Below are 18888 nucleotides of genomic sequence, written 5' to 3' on the forward strand. Positions count from 1 at the left end.
ACAGAGTGGAAGGGACAGGAAAAAAAAAAGCTAGACCTCTCATAATCTACCATGCCCATTGATTTGGCTTTGGAACTATAAATATATTTTACATAATTATAAAGCAAAATTTGAGAAAAATGAAAGAAATATTTAAAATCACAACTGAAGTGAAACTGGTGAAATAATTGCATTGAGCTGACAACCATAGAGAGTAGAAATATTCCAAGGGACCTTAAACACTGTAATTTGACTATACCGCTCAAGCAAAACATATTTTAAATACACAAAAAAGAACAAAGAAATCTTAAATGGTTTCCAGTTATCATACCATTAGTAATAATATTAGTATTGTTATTTTGAAAATATGTACAGTAGGACTAAGTACATAAATAATATGTTCATGTCATTGGGAACCAGGATTTTTACTGTATGAGAGAAGAGGTAGAAATGTAAAGTAAAAAAAAAAAAAAAAAGCAACTCTATAATCTCAATATTCCAATATAGTGTAAGATCACTATGAATATATAGGGTATTTTTTCTTTAAAAAACAACAAAAAAGTTTTTTCTAATTCTGTCCACTGAAAGGTCTAGAGACGATGACACACCCAGTACCAATAGCCATCCGTAGCACCCAGATTGTGAGATCTAAATACCATTTCCCACAGAAAAAGTCAGAGCTCTTTAGGGAAATCAGGGTTTTCAGTCCTGAGGTAAATAATGTGCAGGAAGAGCCTAGAACATCTTTTCTGACCAGAAAGCAAAGGAGCTTTCAAAGGTAACTGGAGTTTGGTTAAAACAAGTTCAGAAACTAACTGGAAAATTTTCCAGAGTTTTGAAAACAAATTATTAACAAACACAACAAACAAAACACGGAAAAGTGTTTCATTTTTAAATGCCTAGAATTGATTAAAGCACATCAAATGTGATATAATATATAAATGTACAGATATCGAAAACAAAACAAAATAAAATGGAATAAGTGACCATTTTGAAGAATGCTAAGGAACCAAGTTATTAATTTGAATACTTTTTAAAAAAAAGAAAAAGAGAGAAAATCAAGCATTTATCCTACCTTTCCTACATGATCTCTGTATGAGAGCAACCAAATAGCTGATATGAGTAACTTCTATTCCATTAAAGAACTTCAAATAATAAATAAATAAAGAAGAAATAATAAAATCAAACTATTATCATGTTGTAGGTCTCAATGAATAACTCATCTAAATACTGAACCTAAAGAATGCTAAAACCATTAGAGAAAGTGCAAAAGAGGCTTTTAATGGGAAGTTCAACCTGAGGAGATCAGAACACTCTGACCAATGTTAACTTCATAATAGAAAAGCAGATTTCATGTATCTCCTGAAAAGATTATTTTTTACCACATAAAACCCCCTGGATTTAACCAAACTTTTTGGTATAAGCACCAGTTTACAAACAACATGACAAATGGCATGTAGAATATAAACAGCAAAATCCAAGATGTGGGATGATCTACAGAACAAACAATCCATTTCTTTCACAAATAAATTTGAACAATGGGCCACTCTGCCTATGGAGTAGCCATTCTTCATTCTTTCACTTTCTTAATAAACTTGCTTTCACTTTACTGTATGGACTCACCCCATATTCTTTCTTGTGAAAGGTCCAAGAACCCTCTCTTGGGGTCTAGATCAGGAATCCTTTCTGGTAACATCTTCCTGGCAAACCCCACAGGGACGATACGGAGAAAACCCCTGACCCATAGGAAACAGACTGTAGCACCAACTGGCAGACTGTGGATATCACCTTTTATCAGAGTTATGAACGGGTCTCACCATACTGACGCTTTCTGACTAAGCTCCTCTCTACCCTGAATACAAGAGACCCTAATAGTTAGGCAGGAATATCATCACCCCTATTCATCCTGAAGGAGTTACAGAAAATGGACTGACATCCCTCTACAACCCTTAGGATTAAAGGTCCCCTTGTAAAAGGGAGTGGGGTAATAAACCATAGGCATTCAAACCAGAGCAACTCCATCTTGAATAGGGGCTGGATAAAATAGGGCTGAGACCTACTAGACTGCATTTCCAGGAGTTTAAGGAATTCATAGTCACGGGATGAGATAGGAGGTCGGCACAAGATACAGGTCGCAAAGACCTTGTTGATAAAACAGGATGCAGTAGAGAAGGCAGTCAAACACCACCAAAACCAAGATGGTGAGGAAAGTGACCTCTGGTCGTCCTCACTGCTCACTATATGCTAATTATAGTGCATTAGCATGCTAAAAGACACTCCTACCAGTGCCATGACAGTTTACAAATGCCATGGTAACATCAGGAAGTTACCCCACATGGTCTAAAAAGAAGAGGAACCCTCAGTTCCAGGAATTGCCCACCTCTTACCCAGAAAACTGATGAATAATTCACTCCTTGTTTAGCAAATAATCACAAAATAACTGTAAGTATACTCAGTCAAGCAGTCCATGCCACTGCTCTGCTTATGGAGTAGCCATTCTTTTATTTCTTTACTGTCTTAATAAACTTGCTCTCACTTAAGAAAAAATGAACAATGATTAATGATTGATAATAGTAAGGAATTATTGTTTGTTTGTTTTAGTTTTTATCATTTTCAGGCATTGAGAACAAACAGCAAAGGACTGTAATCTCTGAAAAGAGAAGCATATAAAGTATGTCCCATACACACTCAAGAATTCAAAGAAGTGAAGCCCAAGGAGACAGCAATACCCTTGCTATGGCAAACAAACAACTCACGATTTAGGGCTACCAAAGCATCTGGCGGTTTTGGAGCTGCATACTATAAGGAAAGCAGCTGCATGGAAATGGCACCTCAAAAATGTACAGGCATTTCCTTGGGTCCTTAGCTCATTCCCAAGCTGCAAATGCACAGAGAAGACAGCAGGTCTAACTAACAGAGAACAGTTTCGGAGGGGAGGGAAGTTGCTAAGAATTGAAGAGAGACTGCATAATAAATACTGAAGGGATGTGTTGCCTCATTCAGTCAGAAAGGAGATACTTTTATGAAAACCCTGAGAACTGAATTGAAACGTGAGAAAAGTATGCTACAGGAGTAAGATTCATATTCTAGGAAATATGGCAATCCACCAGGATTCATGGAAAATTTGAAATAGGTCCCCTGTAAATTCAAGCCTTGATTGAATGAAAGTGATCTGCCAGGAACATAAGTGCCTACTAGAAAAAAACCCAACCCTTCTGAGAGGAAGATAATATAATCCAGAACCCCTGCAACATATCACGTATAATGTCCTGCTCACAATAAAAACTGACTAGGCCTGTGAGGAAGTAGTAAAAAAAAAACCAAAACCCAATAATAAATAAAACAGGCAATCTCAGCAAAGCCAGAAACATTCCAGATACTGAGGCTACCAAACAATGACTCCAAAATAATTATGATAAAACTTAGAGGAAAAGGTTGACAAAATAGTTGAAGAACATTTCAACAGTACTTACAGACTTTCCAAAACAAAATAACCAAATGGAATCAAAGCAAAAAAAGAAGGCAAGAATATAAAACCATAAGAACTATTAGAAACAGTCAAAACCTTCAGCATATGTGTAATTTGAGTCTCAGAAGGAGAAGAAAGAGGAAAAAAGTGGCAATGCAATATTTGAAAAAATATTGGCTGAAATTTCTCAAAATTGTATAAAAGAAAGCAACCTATAGATTCAAAACTCTCAGTGACTCTCAAGCAGGACAAACACAGAGAAAACCAGATCTAGATACGCCATAATCAAGTTGTGGAAAATTAAATATAAACACACAATAAAAGCAGTGAGGGTGGAGAAAAAGACACATTATCTTCAGGAGAACAACAAGAATTACTGCTGAGGTTCCTCTCCCCAAAAAAATTATGGAAGTGACAAGACACTGATGTGGTATTCTTAGAGAGCTAATAGGAAATGGTCAACCTAAAATTCTATGTGTAATAATATCCTTCAAAAATTAAGGTAAAAAATGCATTCTTAAACAAAAGCTGAGGGAATCTGTCTTCAACAGACATGCTCTGTGAGAAATATTAAAATATGTTCTTCAGGCTGAAGAAAAATGATCCCATTAGAATGTAAAATGGTCTGTTTGCAAATGGCATGATCTTTCATACATAGAATACCCTAAAGACTCCACTAAAATACTTTTAGAACTAATAAATGAACAAACTAATTCAGTAAAGTTACAGGATATAAAATCAACATATAAAATTAGTTGCATTTCTATACATTAACAACTAACTGTACAAAAAGGAAATTAAGAAGAAAATCCCATTTACAATAGTGTCAAAAAGTTAAATACTTAGGAATGTATTTAACCAAGAAAGTGAAATATCTGTATTTTGAAAACTATACCACATTAATGAAAAAAAGAAAATATTTGGTGTTCACAAATTGAAAGAATACTGTTAAAATGTCCATACTATGCAAAGCAGTCTACAGTTCAATGCCATCTCTAACAGAATTCCAATGGTATTTTTCACAAAATAGAAAAAGAATCCTATAATTCATATGAAACCACAAAAGACCCCAAATAGCTAAAGCAATCTTGAGCAAAAAGAAGAAACCTGGAGGCATCCTGATTTAAAAATACATTTAAAATAAAAATACACTACTTGATTTTAAAATATATTACAAAACTGTAGTAATCAAAACAGTATGGTATTGGCATTAAAAACAGATATCTAGACCTATGGAACAGAATAGAGAGCCCAGAAATAAGTCCATATATTATGCTGAATTGATTTTTGACAAACATGGCAAGAACATACAACATGTAAAGGATAGTCTATAATAAATGGTGCTAAGAAAACTGGATATCCATTTGCAGAAAAATGAAACTGAACCCTTATCCCACACCACATACAAAGTCAACTCAAAATTAAAGACTTAAACATAAGGCCTAAAACTGAAGAACCAATCCAGGAAAACATACAGGAAAAGCCCTATGACATTAGTCTGAGTAGTGATTTTTTTGGATATGACCACAAAAGCACAACTGAAATATATAAAAAACTCAACTCAATATCAACAAAACAAACTAACCCAATCTTAAAAATGGGCAAAGGATCCAAATAGACATTTCTGAATAGAAAACATATAAATGGTCAACAAATATATGAGAAAATGCTCAACATCACTAATCATCATGGAAATGCAAATCAAAACCACAATAAGATGCCACCTCATACTTGTTAGAATGGCCATTATCGAGAAGATAAAAGACAACAAGTATTGATGAGATGTGGAGAAAAGGGAACCCTTGTTGAAAGTATACTGGTACAGCCATATTTAAAACAATATGGAGGTTCCTCAAAAAATTAAACACAGAGCTACCACATGATTCAGCAATCTCACTTCTGGTTATATATCCACAGAAAATTAAATAAATATCTGGAAGAGCTATCTGCACTTTCATGTTCATTGCAGCATTATTCACAATACATTCATACATTCACCATAGCCAAGATATGGAATCAATCTAAGTGCTCATCAACAGGTAAATGGATAAAGAAAAAGTGCAATATATAAATACACAAAAACACACACACAGACATAAATGGGATATTATTTATCCTTAAAAAGAAAAGGAAATCCTGTCATTTGTGACAACATGGATGAAACAGGGAGACATGCTGAGTGAAATAAGCCAGACATAGGAGGACAAACACTGCATGCTCTCGCTTATATGTGAAATCTAAAAAAAGTTAAACTCATAGAAGCAGAAAGTAGAATGGTGGTGGCCAGGAGCTGAGAGGTGGGGGCAATAGGGAAATGTTGGTCAAAGGCTAAAACGTTTATGTTCTCTGGAATGAATAGCTTCTAGAGATCTAATGTACAGCATGGTGACTATCATTAACAATATTGTATTATACACTTGAAAACTGCTGACAGTAGATCTTAAATATTTTCACCATATTGACTAAAATGGTAACTATGTATGATAGATATATTAGTTACATTGTGGTAATCATTTCACAAGTTATACATATATCAAAATATCAAAACATTACATTGTACATCTTAAATATATATAACTTTCATTTGTCAGTTAAGCTCCAATAAAGCTGGGAAAACATAAATGCTTGAAATATTGGGAAAAGAAGATAAAAATAATGTAAGAAAATAAATAAAGCAAAAGTTTCAGAACAAAAAGCTGGCAAATCTAGAATCATAGTTTGAGATTTTACTATAACTTTCTGACTAAGTAATAAAGCAAATATTTTTTTAAATCAGTAAAGAAATTTAATATTTGAAAAACACTATTTACCAACTTGACTAAGTTAATATAGGTAGAGGACTACATCTAACCATTACAGAATATACATTCTTTCCTGTCCATACAATAAATGCACCAAAATAGACTTTGGTCTATAAAGTAAATCTTAACAAATTTTAAAGATTGAAATAATATACTGCATGATTAGTGATCACATTGGTAAATAAACAGTATAATTTTAATAAAACCTATGGTCACAGAGAATTCAAAATAAAAATGACAAAATACTTTCAGCCGAATGCTAATGAAAACATACATATTAAAACCTGTGGGATGCAAATAAAAGTTCTCCAAGGAAAATGCATTAGTATTAGTGCATATATTAGAAATTCTAAGAAGTTCAAACTCATTTGTCAATGCTTCCAAGTCAAGAAGCTAGGAAAAAATTGTTAAAGTAACCATACATTAGGTGCAAAATAACACAAGGGAAGAAAATGATAAAACCATGAGGAAAATCAATGAAATAAAAATCAACAGAAAACATTAACGGAGCCAATAGTTGGAATTTTGAAAACATTAGTAAAACTAACAAATCCTTGGTAAGACTTATCAAGGTAAAAAAGATAACATAAATTATCAATATCAGGAATGAAAAGAGACGACATCACTACAGAGCCTACGAACACTAAAACATAGTAAGAAAATATTCTGAAAGTACAGATGAGTTTCTTGAGAAAAAAATTGCCAAAACTGAAAAAAGAAGAAATGTAAACTCTGAATAGATCTATATTAAATACATTGAATCATAATTTAAAGCCTTCTCACAAGGAAGCCTGCAGGCTCAATTAACTTTATGGTAAATTATTTCAAACATTTAAGAAATATTGTCAATCTTACACAAATCCTTCCAGAGAATATAAAAAGAGAGGACACTTTTCTATTAATTTTAAAACATTGACATTACCTGTAACTTGACAAAATTACAAAAGAATATCACCCAAATATAGATATAAAAATCCTAAAAATACATATTAGCAAATAAAATCTAGCAATGTATAAAAAGCATAACTTGCCATGAACAAATGGAAAATATTTGATGAATGCAAAGTTGATTCACCATTCAAAATCAATCAATTTAACTCACTATATTTACAGAATAGAGGACAAAAAACATATGATCACCTGAATAGAGTCAGAAAAAGTATTTTATATGTTTCAACATTCATTCATGATTTTTTAAAATTCTTGGTAACTAGGAACAAAAGGTGTGGGTTTTTTTTTAATTCTTTATAAATTCTGACACCTCTCCCATTTAGAAGTGGGCCTATGTCCCCTCGCCTTGAATTTGGGTCAGCTTGTGACTAAGTTAACCCATTGAGTATGGCAGAAATAACACAATGACTTCCAAACATAGGCTGAAAAATTCCCACGCAGCACCTGTCTGGTTCTGTTGTAATGCTTGCTCTGAGAGAAGCCAATTGCCACGAAGAAAGTTTCACTATTCTAAGACAAACTTTTTAGAGTAGCCACATGTAGGCACTCAGGTCCATAGCCTAGTTGAACTCTCATTGAAAGCCAGCATCAATTGGTAGCCACTGGAGTAGGCCATCTTGGATATTCAGCCCAGTCCAGCCTTTAGACAGCTACAGTCCCAGCTGACACCCGCTTATAACTGCTGAATAGATTTCAAGTAGCAACTGTCATGTTAGGTTCTTTCCAAATTCCTGGCCCACAAAATCAGAAACAAAGTCAAATGATTAATGTTCTACAACACTAAATTTGTGGGAAATTAGTTATACAGCAATAGTAGTTGACATAGGAAAGAACACTCTTCATCTGATAAAAATTATCTGTGAAAACTTACAGCTAACATCATATTCAACAATGAAATATTGAGCATTTCCCCATGCTGCTGGGGAAAAGACAAGGATTTCCTTTTCACCACTTTTATTCGGCTTGGTATTGAAGGTCCTAGCCAGGGCAATAAGTCAAGGAAAAGAAATAATAGTTACAAAGACTGGAAAGGAAGAGGAAAAATATCCTTCATTCACACATGATGTAATTATGTACGTTTAAAAAATCCAAAAGAATCTACAAAAAATAATTAGACATGATGAGTGAATTTAACAATGTATATGGAATCAAAATCAAATATTTAAAAAATACATATTTTTACATAACAAGTGAAAAATTAAATTTTAGAAAATTAATATTTCACTAAGCATAATATATCAAATATCTGTAAATAAATCTAACAAAGATATGGAATACTTAGACACTGAAAGCTATAAAACATTGCCAGGATAAATGAAAAGAGAACTAAATTTAAAAATAGTTTATGTTCATGCATTGGCAGGCTGAATATTTTTAAGATGTCATTTCTTCCAAAGTTAATTATAGTTTCAATGTAATTCCCATAAAATTCTTTGGGAAAACTGACAAGTTGATTCAAAAACTTATATGGAAATGCAGAATATCCAACATCTTTGAAAAGAACAAAGTTGAAATTACACTCTCAGATTTCAAGCATCAGAAGTTAAGCCTAGGTAGCATCAGGATAGATAAAAACACCAGTAAAAAAGATGAGAAAATGCTGAAATTGATCCACAGATGTATTGATGAATGAATTGGGGGCATGGTATACTGATCTCTTTACTTTTTATTTGTTTAAAACTTGCATAGTAAAAACTTAAAAGAAAATAGAATAATTAAAACAAAATAATAACAAAAAGAAAAAATTATTGAGTGATCATTAAGATGAAGGAATACTACATGAAGGGGTGGACAATGTCCTCAATATTCCTGCAGTAAACTACTAGTAGAGCTTATAAAAAGGCTGTTCAGTAATTTGATAAGGGACCAACTAAGACTCATGTTTTTTAATCCCTTCTATTTCATGCTTATTTTGTTGCCTTTAGACACAAAATAAATTCTAATTAATTCTAGGTTGATTTGATTTTAAAGTAATTATGGTTGGTCACAGTGGCTCATGCCTGTAATCCCAGCACTTTGGGAGGCCAAATTAGATGGATTGCTTGAGCCCAGGAGTTTGAGACCAGCCTGGGCAACATAGAGAAACTCCATCTCTATAAAAAACACACAAAACATTAGCCTGGAGTGGTGGTGCACACCTGTAGTCCCAGCTACTCAGAAGGCTGAGGTGTGAGGATCACTTGAGCAAAGGAGGTCGACGTTTCAGTGAGCCGTGATCAGGCCACTGCACTCCAGCCTGGGCAACAGAGTAAGACCTTGTCTCAAAATAAATAAATGAATAAAATAAAATAAATTATAAAAATATTATATATCTTCAGATCCCAAAACATCTCATGTATCCAAAAGTCTAACACTGATTAAGAACACTTAATAACCTCAAAATTTTGCTTGCTTTTTTCTCCAGGTTCACACATACCTGGTTGCTGTGTTTCCCATCTTACTGTAAAGCCTCTCCCATTTCTTAAATGTTCAGAATAGAGATGAAAATAGAGAGCATTGTCACTGCTGAGGAGTTCATGAGGGAGGCTGGAGCCACAAAATCTTCCAAGTTGAAAAGCAGAAGAGGAATCTCCATCATAAACCTGAAGAAACTCGTGTGGACAGTTGTCCATGGATTCTAACCGGAAAAAAGTGAAAGTGATACGCAGGACCTAAAAATACAAAGGCCACATATATTATCTTTTACTTCCATGTAAATTTTAAAGTATTTCTCCCACTTCCTAGGCAGCATTCATACTGAGGCACTTTCAAGAGCTAGACCTATCATTCCCTAATTATCCACCAGTACATATGGCAATCTATATACTAAATAACTTGTGCTAAATATTGTTAAAAACAAACTTCAACTAATATCAAAATATATCAAAAAATCTTAATGTTAATAACATAGATTTACCCCAATTTCATTAAACTTGTCAAGTCCACCAGACCAAGGTATGTCAAATATATAACTGACATTGTTTCTAAAGCAGTAAAATAAATTGGAGATTTGAAAATCTACCTGAATTAAGTTGAACTGGCTAATATTACCATTCACAAGAATGTACACCCTAATTCCCTGAATAACCTGTGGCCTGTTATCAAACACACAGACGTTCATCACTGCCCGCCAGGGATGTTGATTCCAGAGGGGCTAAGATTCTGACGCCAGCCCAGACCGACACGCTCAGGTGTGGGCGGAGTAGGCGGGATGTAGACAAGCAAGGCCTGGACGGCTTCAGGGACTGGATATAATTAAAGGATGAGTAATACCAAGAGTAGAGAATGAGAGGAAGAATACTGAGCATACAAGAATAACAGGAAAAATACTGAGCATACAAGTAGAAGAGAATAAACACAAAAATGTGTCCGAATGGATTAGAATACAGACTTCAAATATAGTAATATAACTTATAAAACGTACTGACAACCTCATTTGAGATAAACAATCAAAAGAAGGCTGTCGAATTTAATTTTCATCAGAACCTAAAATCACAACAATATTCAGTTAATGAAAAAGAATATAAGGAATTTTTTAAATTCTGTGCTAGGGTATTTTAAGATCAGTTACCTATTACTACATGACTTTCTTAAAACAGTTTAAATGAAACTCAAATGTTCACTAATTGAACTATCCTGATTTGTATATATTTTCTACCATATTATGTCCATTATGAGTGAGAAGATATGAAATCACAATAATCAAGAAAAAAACAAGATGAATTTTCTTGCGAATTGGTAATGAAAGTATTACAAGTTTCTCACCTAAGAATATTTTTTTTTCAAAAGAATGTTTTCAATGCCAGGAAATAGAATTCATGAAAACTAAATGGAAGGAAGGAAATTCACATAGCATACCCACTGGGAAATTTATTTTGGAGTTTATTTTAGTGTGAGGTTACCAGGTCGCAAATAGTCCTCCCTCCTCAAAGGAAAAAAAAATGTTTTTTGACCCTTGTACAATGCCCTCTGTAATAGTTTGCTGGAAAAAGTTAATAGGATTTCAAGGGAAAATTTTATCTATTCAGACATACCATTTTATTTTTATGAATCCAGGAGGTGGTTGAGAAACAATATTTAGAAATGCCTGGGTAATTAATGTCGGGTATAAGAGCACTAAAAACCTTGGACTTGGATCTTAATTTGAAGAGCGTTCACGGAGCGGCTCAGAGTGACAGGCTGTGGAGGTGACTGGCCTGTGTCTGAGTCACTGCATGCCACTTTCGAACCACATGCACCTGGACACACTTCTCAATGGCACTAGGCTCTGTTTCCTCATGTGTAAAATGAAGATAATAATTTCTATCTTTCAGGGTTATGAGAGTTAAAAATGGAATGCTGTAATGTATATGGAGCACTTAGTATAGAACATGGCAGAGCAAAGACATTTGATAAGAAAACTATCTTAATATCAGTGGCCATTTTTGCACAATAATCAACATAAAACTAAGCAACCATCTTCTAAAATACTGTCTCAGTAACAACATGATTTTACAGATTAACTAGTGGCTTGCAGTCAGTCAACCAGTGTAGAGAATCATTCATGCTGGAGAAAGCATGGACTTTGGAACCAGACAAACTTGACTTTGAAATTCAACTATTACAATTACAAGCTAAGAAGTGTTAACAAAAAATGTTTAGCTTCACCTACTTTTCATTATTTCATCTATAAAAGGAGGATCCTCCTATTTATTTATTTATTTATTTATTTATTTATTTATTTATTTATTTATTTTTGAGACAGAGTCTTGCTCTGTCACCCAGGCTGGAGTGCAGTGGTGCAATCTCAGCTCACTGGAACCTCTGCCTCCTGAGCTCAAGTGATTCTCCTGCCTCAGCCTCCCGAGTACCTGAGATTAAAGGCACCCATCACCATACCTGGCTAATTTTTGTCATTTTAGTAGAGCTGGATTTTCACCATGTTGGCCAGGCTGGTCTTGAATTCCTGACCTCAGGCAATGTGCCCGCCTCAGCCTCATAAAGTACTAGGATCACAGGCGTGAGCCACCAGGCCTGGCCTTGTTACTCTTTTTTTTTTTTTTTTTTTTTTTTTTTGTGAGATGGAGTCTTACTCTGTTGGCCAGGCTGGAGTACAGTGGCACTGTCTCTGCTCACTACAAACTCCGCCTCCTGGATTCAAGCAATTCTCCTGCCTCAGCCTCCCGAGTAGCTGGGATTACAGGAATGTGCCACTACACCTGGCTAATTTTTTTTTATTTGTTTTATTTTTAGTAGAGACAGGGTTTCGCCATATTGACCAGACTGGTCTGGAACTCCTGACCTCAGGTGATGCACCCACCTCATCCTCTCAAAGTGCTGGGATTACAGGCAAGAGCTACTGCACCCAGCCCCTGTGACTTATTTCAAACAATTAATGTAAGGTTATGAAAAGGTAGGTATATGTCTAGCCAAAATAATGGCACTCCGTACTTAGTAAGCACTCAATATATGATAGTTGAATTATCATTGCATGTATTTTATGTAATAAAATATACACATACTCCATATTTATATATACAAATATAATATGCATTTGGGCAAGAGTTACTACATTTACCTTTCCCATTTCAGTTTTGATAACCCAGAAGCAGTTAACATCATGAACATAACCAACATCCGGGCTCCTGTAGCTGAAGCTTCCATTTATTCCTGAGAGGGACTCTCCACAAACTGCAAAGGAAAAGATGAACTGTGCTTTTCAGAGGTTCCTAAAAGGAAGAGGTTGGGCAACTGTAACCCTGCTGCTGATAAACTTAGAGAAAATTTGAGTAATGAAGGTTGGAGATAAAAGCCCTGCCATTCCCTCTCCTCTGTGCCCTTTTTCTGTCAACTTCCATAGAAATCCCACCTCTTGTTCAAAGCTCAGCTGATGCCTCATCACCTGCTCCATGAACTGCCATGTCTTATGTTTTCACTGATTCCCATTCTCTGTGTCCCTGTGACACCCAATTTCACCCCACACAACATAGCTCATGTCTTTAACTCTTGTATCTGTTCTCCCATTGGGGTTGGTCTTGTCTCCTCAGCTGCAAGGTGAGCAGTTCATAAGTGGAGACAGTATTTTACACTTTCATATTTTTCCATAGGGTCTACTATTGTCCTAAACATATAACAACAACCTCTCAATAAATGTGTTGATTCCAAATCAGGAGTTTAAGTGAGGGGCAGAAGAGTCAAAAGTGACTTTATGGAAGAAGTTGAGAGGGAAGTGCTCCTGAGGGACAGACACATCTGGATGAGAAACAAGGAAGATGTGTGAGGAGGTTTATCGGGAGAAACATTCCAAATAAATGAACACAGTGGAAAATACTCATGGTGGTACATGGGGTCCGGTGACGAAAGAAAACTTGCTTGAGTGAAGTTATTTCTAGGGAACTAGTGAAAAAAAAGGTTAGATGGATTGAGTGAGACTTGGTTATAGAAGATCATTGAAAATTAATCCCAGTCTCTATTTAACAGGCAACGGGAAGCCACTGTGTATCCTGGAAAGGGAGAGTGACTTGATTCAATGCAGTACTCTAGGGAAATTAAGTGGCTGCTCCTCAGAAAACTTCCCTTTAGAAAACCATAAAAGACAATACCTTAGCATGTTTTATATTCAAAAAGGACATAGTGAAAATGGCAAATACTAATGTATTTATTCTTTGGAAGAAAAGTTCTTGGCTTACAGTGAGATTTATAAATATTTAGCTTGTGAATTTTATACCATTTCTGCAAGGAAAGACTTAGTTCTCAGTATCTGAGCAACTGGACAAGAAAGTGGGTTCAGCAGAGGAATCTGTTGAGGGACTCACTAAAGGATGCTGCTGCTATGCTGTGAGCATCCGTGGCATAAGAAATGCTGACTGTACCTTGCTGAGGAACCTGACAGAGAGCTCCAGTCCAGAGACGTGTGCATTCACAACTGAAAGAATCAACGCCATCAACACAAGTTCCTCCATTCAAACAGGGGTTGCTCAAACACTCATTGATGTTTTCTGTACAGTTGACACCTGTCCAACCTGAGTCACACTTACAAAAATAACCAGAGACAGTGTCCTAAGGGGAAAAAAAACACATAATACCATAAAACAAATGGATAGACACTAAACTTTAATCAACCCAAATAATAGGAATGTAGTGCCATGGAGATATATAATATATAATAATTATATAATTATTATATATAAAATAATATATAATTATATATTTAAAAATAATTATTATTTATGTAATAATTATATATGTATAATTATATATATATAATTTTTTTTTTTTTTGAGATGGAGTCTCGCTCTGTCGGCCAGGCTGGAGTGCAGTGGTGCAATCTCAGCTCACTGCAACCTCTGCCTCCCGGGTTCAAGTGATTCTCCGGTCTCAGCCTCCTGAGTAGCTGGGATTACAGGCACGCGCCACCACACCTGGCTAACTTTTTGCAGTAGAGACAGTGTTTCACCATGTCGGTCAGGCTGGTCTTGATCTCCTGGCTCGTGATGCACCCGCCTCACCCTCCCAAAGTGTTGGGATTACAGGCATGAGCCACCACGCCTGGCCTACTGATATATTTAACAGGTGCTACAAATATATATGTGTTTATATGTAAGTATTTTCTAGTAGTCTACTTGTTATTAATAGGTTTAAATGGTAATTGTTTTGTATGTCAGATTTATTTAGATCAAACTGCAGGCGTAGTTTTAGTACTTCATAAACCACTGAGACAAAAAATTAACTCAATGTTTTTTCCTAAGAACTAAAATCATTATCTATCTTTCATCTGAGAGTTCTCGACAGTTCCTTATCTGAAACTTGACTCATTATCTTGACATTCCTGAATCCTATAACGTTACATTTTATAGGCGTGAAACTAATTCTCAGGTACTCTCTGTCCACAGGAAAAACAAAGGACTCACGATGCATTGTCCATTTAGACAGGGGTGACTTAGGCAAATATTACTGAGCTGCACACATCCATTTGGCCCATAACCATTTCCAGTATAACCCGGGAGACACGTGCAGAGAGGTAAGGAACCTGTTCAGAAATAAAAACAAACGTGTAAATACAGGTCTCCTCCTCTGTTCGGATGCAGTATCTAAACTCAGAATCTGCTGTCTAGACAAGGATCCACCAACATCCAGTCTGTGTATTTTGACGGGCAGACAAAACAAGGTATGAGGAGAAAATATTAGAATCTTTATTTTTGTATTTCTTATCTTAAAATAAGAAAGCCATTAAATGCCTTCCACACATTATTGACGTACTGGGTTGACATGGGTGCTGTCAGCCCATATGTCAGATGGTCCTGAGCTGTGCACAAAGGTGAGCTGCACCTGGGGAAGACAGACATTCCTCATCATGGAGGAGTTAATGCAGAAAAGGAGATTCTTAGGATGAAACTATCTGTTGCAAGCACTGGACTTACTCTGACTGATTTAATCCTCCCAAGAGCCCAATAGAGGGCCAGGCACAGTGGCTCACGCCTGTAATCCCAGCAGTTTGGGAGGCTGAGGAGGGCAGATCACTTGAGTTCAGGAGTTCGAGACCAGCCTGGCCAATGTGGAGAAACCCTGTCTCTACTAAAAATACAAAAATTAGCCAGGCATGGTGGCACACGCCTGTAATCCCAGCTACTTGGGAGGGTGAGGCAGGAGAATCACTTGAACCCAGGAGGCAGAGGTTGTAGTGAGCTGAGATAGTGCCACTGCACTCCAGCCTGGGTGACAGAGTGAGACTCCATTTCCAAGAAAAAATTTTTTAATTATAATAATAATAATACTAATAAAGAGCCCTATGGAATCTGTAATCCCTGAACTTTGGGAGGCCGAGGCAGGCGGATCACCTGAGGTCAGGAGTTTGAGACCAGCCTGGCCAAGATGGTTAAGCCCTGTCTCTACTAAAAATACAAAACAATTAGCGGGGCATGGTGGCCTGTAGTCCAGGCTAATCAGGAGGCCGAGGCAGGAGAATCACTTCAACCCAGGAGGTGGAGGTTGCAGTGAGCCAAGATCCTGCCACTGCACTCCAGCCTGGGAGACAGAGCAAAACGCCATCTCAAAAAAAAAAAAAAAAAGCCCTATATAGGTACTCTCTTATAATCCCCACTTTACAGATGAAGCCAGTACACAGACAGCCTGTCCCGGCCAAGGACACACACACACAGCTAGAATGAGGGGAGCCCAGAGAGCAAGCACTCCCCTCGTGTGTAGGCTGCCTACAGCACACCTGTACAGGAGTGTGGCTTACACAGGCAGGCCACATGTCCCCAGTTATGTGGATGTGCAGATTGCATGCTGCCAGTTTTAAACAGGCTAAATAGCTATCACAGAATGAACTTAAGTCTCTAAAAGACGTTTGCAATAAAACCACAGATTGAAGATAATATAGTAACATAAATATATGGGGACATCAACAAAATACCAGCACCAAAACTTCTCCCACACTTCTGATGAGCTCCTCATTGCCAAGGTACAAGGTTAAAACAATGGCAATCGAATTAGGTTAGGAAGGAACTTGGTCAAAAGGAATTTGAAATGATCGTGTCTATTTAAAACATGAATTAACATCCACGATTAATTATGATGTACATGAGGTAATAGCTAACAATAGTTTTAGAGCATCCAGCATCTTGACAGTTTTCTTACGCAATGTTAGGTTAAAAATACTCGTCATAGACATTACAAAATTTTACTAAATTTAATATCCAGAGAGTTTTCCAGATTTCTCACTTAATAGCAAAAAGCCACATCTCATTGCAGAAATATATGTTCTTTCTACTACTGCACAATGGTTGAAATAATACAAGGAAATCAATGTGGCAGTTAACTACATTCCTCCATCAGCAAGAACTGTTAAAGATGGATAGAAAAACCCTGCTGAATAATTTAAAAAATAGAACAAATTACACAATGTGACAGATTTACAGTAGAATTGAATGACAATATAAGTTGTTCTTTTTTTTTTTTTTTTTTTTTGAGACGGAGTCTCGCTCTGTCGCCCAGGCTGGAGTGCAGTGGTGCGATCTCAGCTCACTGTAAGCTCCGCCTCCCGGGTTCACGCCATTCTCCTGCCTCAGCCTCCCGAGTAGCTGGGACTACAGGTGCCCGCCACCACGCCTGGCTAATTTTTTGTATTTTCAGTAGAGACGGGGTTTCACCATGTTGGCCAGGATGGTCTCTATCTCCTGACCTCGTGATCCACCTGCCTCGACCTCCCAAAGTGCTGGGATGACAGGCGTGAGCCACCGCGCCTGGCAAAAATACAAGTTTTGTTATGTTCTCAGCTTATATTACTTGCAAGATTCCACTTCAATATTAAAAAACACAAATATTTCTTTTAAATAAATAATTGCCTAGAAATGCATTTTTTTATAGTTAATTACTTCTTTTAAAAATATTTATAGGGAAAAATGGAGTAAGCAAGCTCTGAAACTGTTGAAGCTCTGAGTAGAAATTTTTTAAGTTTCCCAGGGTAAACTTACAGGTTGCAGTAAAGAAGGGCAGCCTAAAAGTACACAAAGTGTTATTAATACTTCATGTCATCAACATTATGACTGTCCTCCATATTAAAAAACAGTTATTTTTGTAATAATATTTGTTACAAGCACTTTACATATAAGGACTCATTTAATCATCTGAAGCACCCTGAGGTAGGTGCTATTATTATCCTCATTTTACAGATGAAGAACTAAAGCACAGAGATTAAGTGTCTTCACTGAGGACAAGCAGCTAAAATCTGGTGGAGCCCAGGGAAAAATGCAAGCAGTCTTTATCTAGAAATCATGCTCCTAACCACTTTGGTATGTTGATAATCATTTAATAAGCATTTAGTCACAAGTATATGTGTGTGTGTGTGTGTGTGTGTGTGTTTACATACACATATATGTTCTTTTCTATATATGCAAGTATATGACAAATTAATAAAAAATAAAGGTGGTATCTTGAAATAGCAAGAGACATGATTATTCAAGAAATGGAACTGGGTCCACTTATTTGAGCAAAAATACCAAGCCAGATCTCTATTTGATGCTACGGATAAAAAATACATTCTAAAAATATAAAATATCTTACCATAAAAAAAGAAACCATAGAAGTATAAAAGAACATGTACTTGACAATTTTTAAAGAGTTCAGTAAAGAAAGCCTTCCTAAACATGACTGTGAAGGGAGAAATAGTAAGAGAAAAGATTTATCTTTTTGACTACGTAAAAATTCTAAACTTCTGAATAGCACTACCACTACAAGATTAAAACAAAAACAACATGCCAGGAAAAACACTTATAAAACATAAGACAGATAATGAGATAATGTCCTTAGTACATAAAGAAACTTTACCAATCAGTAAGAAAGAAAGAGAGCAAAGGGGATGAACAAGTAGAAAGATGCCCAGTGAAAATGTGGAAAGTATTAATTATTAGTAATCAAAAAGTATAAATGAAAATAATGGAAAAACTAATTTTGCCTATAAAACTGACCAAGATGAAAAATAATAATAATATCTATTATTGTCAAAGATGGAGTAAATATGTATTTTTATACACTGTCGGTGAATACATAAATTGATACAATCTTTCTTGGAGAAAGTTTAGCAGTATATATTTTGTTAAATTACAGGGTTAAACCCTTCTATGCAGCATTGCAAACACTGTTGGTTGTCACCCTAGATCTATTTTCTACTTCCTTCTTTCTGAACTCCTTATTTCAGCTGGACTCAGGATGCCTGAAATATAGAGTGTA

The 18888-nt window shown here is 35.8% G+C and overlaps 1 protein-coding gene across 2 annotated transcripts in view, besides 2 other annotated features; it reads right to left on the reverse strand.

Moving 5' to 3' along the window:
* The window catches only part of CUBN (cubilin), a 305846-nt gene that overhangs the window by 266423 nt on the left and 20535 nt on the right, over positions 1–18888 (reverse strand). For both annotated transcript variants that reach the window (NM_001081.4, XM_011519708.3), the window contains exons 11-14: positions 15069–15187; positions 14031–14217; positions 12737–12849; positions 9617–9851 (exon numbers count right to left, since the gene is read on the reverse strand). In NM_001081.4, coding sequence (NP_001072.2) covers positions 9617–9851; positions 12737–12849; positions 14031–14217; positions 15069–15187 — 654 coding nt within the window. The remainder of the gene's footprint in view (positions 1–9616; positions 9852–12736; positions 12850–14030; positions 14218–15068; positions 15188–18888) is intronic.
* Positions 7728–7928: a silencer, noted in NCBI's record as "peak883 fragment used in MPRA reporter construct". NCBI's record gives its function as "represses an SCP1 promoter by STARR-seq MPRAs in K562 erythroleukemia cells {active_cell/tissue: K562}" and the evidence as "EXISTENCE:reporter gene assay evidence [ECO:0000049][PMID:32103011]".
* Positions 14089–14289: a silencer, noted in NCBI's record as "peak884 fragment used in MPRA reporter construct". NCBI's record gives its function as "represses an SCP1 promoter by STARR-seq MPRAs in K562 erythroleukemia cells {active_cell/tissue: K562}" and the evidence as "EXISTENCE:reporter gene assay evidence [ECO:0000049][PMID:32103011]".

Source organism: Homo sapiens, chromosome 10 (genome assembly GCF_000001405.40).
Source record: "Homo sapiens chromosome 10, GRCh38.p14 Primary Assembly".
Taxonomy (NCBI): domain Eukaryota; kingdom Metazoa; phylum Chordata; class Mammalia; order Primates; family Hominidae; genus Homo; species Homo sapiens.